Here is a 5207-nt window from a genome sequence, read left to right as displayed (position 1 = left end):
GTGATATTTGTCGTTCTGTGTCTGTGTTATTTTTTAATGTAATGACCTCTAATTCCATCCATGTTGCTGCAAACAACATGATTTAATGCATTTTTACAGGTGAATAATATTCTACTGTGTAAATGTACCACATTTTCTTTATTCATTCACCCATTAATGAATGCTTAGTTTCATTCCATATCTTTGTTATTGTCAGTAGTGCTGCAATAAACCTGGGGGTAACGCATTCCTTGGATATACTGATTTCCTTTCCTTTGGATAAACATCCAGTAGTGAAATTGCTAGACCATATGGTAGTTCTCTTTAGTTTTTCTTGAGGAACCTGTACTGTTTTCCATAGTGGCTGTACTAATTTACATTCCCATCAACAGTGTATAAGAATTCCCTTTCCTTTACATCCTCTCCAGCAGCTGTAATTTTTTGTTTTTTTTTTTAATATTAGACATCCTAATTGGGATAAGATGATATCCCACTGTGGTTTTGATTTGCATTTACCTGATGATTAGTATTGTTGAACACTCTTTCATATACACGTTGGTCATTTGTGTGTCGTCTTTGTAGAAATATCTACTTTGATTTTTTGCCTAATTTTTAATGGGATTTTTGTTTTGTTTTGTTTTGTTTTGCTGTTAAGTTGTTTGAGTTTCTTTTATACTGTGGATAATAGTCCCCTGTTAGATGAATAGTTTGCAATTATTTTCTCCCATTCAAAACGTTGTCTCTTCACTCTGTTTTCTTTGCTTTTCAGAAGCTTTTTAGTTTGGCTATTTTTGTTTGGCTATTTTTGTTTTTGTTCCCTATGCTTTTGGGGTCTTAGTCAAAAAATCTTTGCCTAAACCAGGTGGAATATGTTCCCTATGTTCTCTTGTGATCATTTTATAGTTTCAGGTCTTATACTTAAGTTTTTAATTCATCTTGAGTTGGTTTTTGTATATGGTGATAAATAAGAGTCTAGTTTCATTCTTCTGCACATCCATATCCAGTATTCCCAGCACCATTTATTGAAGAGGGTGTCTTTTCCCTGATGTATGTTCATGGTGCCTTTGTAAAAAATCATTTGGCTGTAAATTTATGGGTTTATTTCTGTGTCTTCTATTCTGTTCCATCAGTTTTTGTGTCTGTTTTTATCCCAATACCATGTTATTTTAGTTACTATAGGCTTGTAACATATTTTGAAGTAAGATAGTGTGATGCCTCTAGCTTTGTTCTTTTTACTCAGGATTGCTTTAGCTATTTGAGCTCTTTTTTGGTTGCGTGAAACGTTTAGAATTGTTTTTTCTATTTCTGTGAAAAATATTATTGGTATTTTTATACGGATTGCATTGAATGTGTAAATTGTGTTAGGTTGTAAGGTCATTTGAACAATATTAACTCTTTCAATCCATGAGCATGGGATGTCTTTCCATTTGTTGTGTCCTCTTCAATTTCCTTCATCAGTGTTTTGCAGTTTTCCTTGCAGAGATCTTTCATTTCCTTGGTTAAATTTATTCCTAGGTATTTTAAATGTTTTTGTAACTATTGTAAATGGGATTCCCTTTTTAAATTTATTTCTCAGTTACCTCATTATTAGTGTATAGAAATGCTATCATTTTTGTTTGTGAATTTTGTATCCTTCAACTTTACTGAACTTGTTTATAAAATCTAAAAGTTTTTTGGTGGGCTCTTTAAGCTTCTCTAAATATAAAATGGTGTCATCTGTAAAAGGGGACAATTTAACTTCTGTTTTCAAATTTGGATGCCTTTTATTTCTTTCACTTGCCTGATTGCACCAATTAGGACTCCCAGTACTATGTTGAATAGGAGTGGTGAAAGTTGTCATTCTTGTCTAGTTCCAGTTCTTAGAGGAAAGGCTTTCAGCTTTATCTCATTCACTTTGATGTCAGCTGTGGGTTTGTCATATATGGCCTTGATTATGTTGATGTATGTTTCTTTTCTGCCTAGTTTGTTGAAAGGTTTTATCATCAATAGATGTTGATTTTATTAAACGCCTTTTCTGCATCTATTGAGATAATCATATGATTTTGTTCTTTATTCTGTTGATGTGATGTATCATGTTTATTCATTTGCATATGTTGACCCATCCTTGCATCCCTGGGATGACTACCACATGATCATAGTATATTATCTTTTTGATGTGCTGTTGGATTCAGTTTGTTAGTATTTTGTTGAAGACTTTTGTGACTATGTTCATCAGAAATATTGGCCCAATGTTTCCTTTTTTTATTTTTGTCCTTGTCTGGTTTTAGTATCAGAGTAATGCTGGCTTCATAGAATGAGTTAGAAATAATTTCCTTCTCTTCTATTTGTCAGAATAGTTTGAGGAGAATTGGTATTAGTTCTTCTTTATAAGTTTGATAGAATTTGGAAGTGAAGGTGTCAGGTCTTGTGCTTTTCTTTCTAGGAGACTTTATTATTGATTCAATAGCATTACTTGATATTAGTCTGTTCAGGTTTTCTATTTCTTTCTGATTCAGTCTTGGTAGGTTTTATGTGTCTAGGAACTTATCCATTTCCCATAGGTTTTCCATTTTATTAGTGTATAGTTCATAGTAATCTCTGATGATCTCTTGTATTTCTGTAATGTCAGTTTTAACATAATATTTTGAAATATGCATACATTGTGGAATGGCTAGATTGACCTAATTAACATATGCATTATCTCAGATACTTTCCTTTTTTTGGTGAGAACACTTAAAATCTACTCTTTCTCAATTTTCAAATATGAAATATATTGTCATTAATTATAGTCACCATATTGTACAATAGAGCTCTTGGGTTAATTTCTTCTAACAGAAATTTTGTATCCTTTGTCCAGCATCTCCCCAATCCCATTCACACCCCAACCCCCAGCCCCTGGTAACTTCCATTTTACTCTATGCTTCTATGAGTTCAACTTTTTAGATTCCACCTACATACATTCCACAAGTGAGATCATGTGGTATTCGTGTTTCTGTAACTTCATTAACTTAAAAACTATATTCAGTGCCTCCTTTATTCCAGGCCTTATGCTAGACCCTAAAAACACAAGTTTATGTAATACATAGCCATTTCATACAGGACCTCATGATCAATTGAAAGTGCTAATGATGTTAATACATAAATCAAATATACTATTTCATATGCTATAAGAGTGTTTTTGGTTAAATATATCTTTAGCAATTTTGTCAAATATAATGGCCAAAAGTGTGTATCAATGATTTTTTAAAATCTTATAAGAAGAAAATGTGATATTTTTTCTTATTCATTGTCCCACATGAATTATATACACAGATTTGAAAGATTAGGCCAAATTCAGTTATCACAGGCTCATCAGAAATAGATGAAGGAGAAACAAGTCTTCCCAAGGAAAGAAGTAAGTACCCCAAGGTATGTTGAAACCGATGGGAATGAATCATTGCCCAGCCTATGAGGGACAGGATGGGCTCACAGAGGCCTATAGCTCTTTGGGCTTGGCAGAAGTAGCTAACAACTCAGGGAAACTGGATCAAAGAGATGCTGGAAACCAGGTAAGCAGGAGTAGGAAAAATGGGGAAAGTGGTCATTTTTCCTTGAGGCATTTCTAATTATCTGGTCTCCAATTCTATGCATCTGCTGTCTTCTTTTTTAAGTCTATATCTGCCTCTATTTCTCCCTTCTGCAATACCTAATCCCCTGTCAAATATCCACGACATGTGAACTTAACTATGTTTACATTAGTTTGAAAAAAATACACTCCTGTATTCCTCTGTTATTTTGTTATGCATGACGGCTGGGTGCAGTGGCTCATGCCTGTAATCCCAGCACTTTGGGAGGCTGAGGCGCAAGGATCACTTGAGGTCAGGAGTTCGAGACCAGCCTGGCCAACGTGGTGAAACCTCGCCTTTACTGAAAATACTAAAAATTAGCCTGATGTGATAGCACGCGCCTGTAATCCCAGCTACTCGGGAGGCTGAGGCAGGAGAATTGCTTGAGCCTGGGAGGCAGAGGTTACAGTGAGCCAACATCGTGCCACTGCACTCCAGAATGGGTGACAGATCAAGACTCCATCTCAAAATAAATTTTAAAAAATGCGTGAAATGTATTATGTATTTCTTTGTCCTTAAAAAATGTTATTTCTTTTTACTTAAGTATTTTTTCCTAAGGTAGTTTTTGGTTTAACATTTTTTTTCACTCCTGCCATATCCATGAGTCTTAAATTAAGTAATAATGAATCTACTATGCCATAACTTTCTTTTACAATATGAATATTTTAGCTCTTGAGATTTTTCTTCCTGGAGTATACCATATTCCACCAAAGGAGATATTTTTAACTAGCATCTCAGGAAAGCTTTCAGCAGAACCCAATTATTTTCTGACCACCCTTTCTTGTTCCTCTTAACCTGCAACAATTTAATTCTTGCCCTGAGTGATTACTCAATAATTATTTTGTGGGAGACTGAAAAGATTGCCTGGGGCCCCTCCACCTTCAAGTCTGGCCCTGTCTCCAACATAGGGTGCGGGGTGAGGGAGGGGGTGAGCTGAATGTGCTCTTGGTGACTCGGGGGTTAGTTAGCTGGAGGTGTCAGAGGTGTGAAACAGTATTTAAAGGTAAGTGTTGGGAAGAGGCATTCCTGAATCAATTAGAAGTGTGTAAAATATATGCCATCCTTTGCAGTAGATCATGGAAGATGAAAAGTGTTTCAGCAGCATTAAAGAATGATTTATCTTTTAAAAGGATAGTTCACAGACAAACATGTGTCTAAACATAACCTTGTGCCTTGAATGGGCCAAAGTTACTCCAATCATTATCAGCACTCTCCTTACTTTCCAACATTTTTATCCTTTTTTTTCTTTTTTTATATATATTTTTTCTTTTTATTATACTTTAAGTTTTAGGGTACATGTGCACAATGTTCAGGTTTGTTACAAATATATACATGTGCCATGTTGGTGCGCTGCACCCATTAACTCGTCATTTAACATTAGGTATATCTCCTAATGCTATCCCTCCCCCTTCCCCCCATCCCACAACAGGCCCCGGTGTGTGACGTTCCCCTTCCTGTGTCCATGTGTTCTCATTGTTCAATTCCCACCTATGAGTGAGAACATGCAGTGTTTGGTTTTTGTCCTTGCGATAGTTTGCTGAGAATGATGGTTTCCAGCTTCATCCATGTCCCTACAAAGGACATCAACTCATCATTTTTTATGGCTGCATAGTATTCCATGGTGTATATGTGCCACATTTTCTT

Source organism: Homo sapiens, chromosome 13 (genome assembly GCF_000001405.40).
Source record: "Homo sapiens chromosome 13, GRCh38.p14 Primary Assembly".
NCBI classification, from domain to species: domain Eukaryota; kingdom Metazoa; phylum Chordata; class Mammalia; order Primates; family Hominidae; genus Homo; species Homo sapiens.
The sequence above is the reverse complement of the archived record's forward strand: the minus strand, read 5'-3'. Positions refer to the sequence as shown.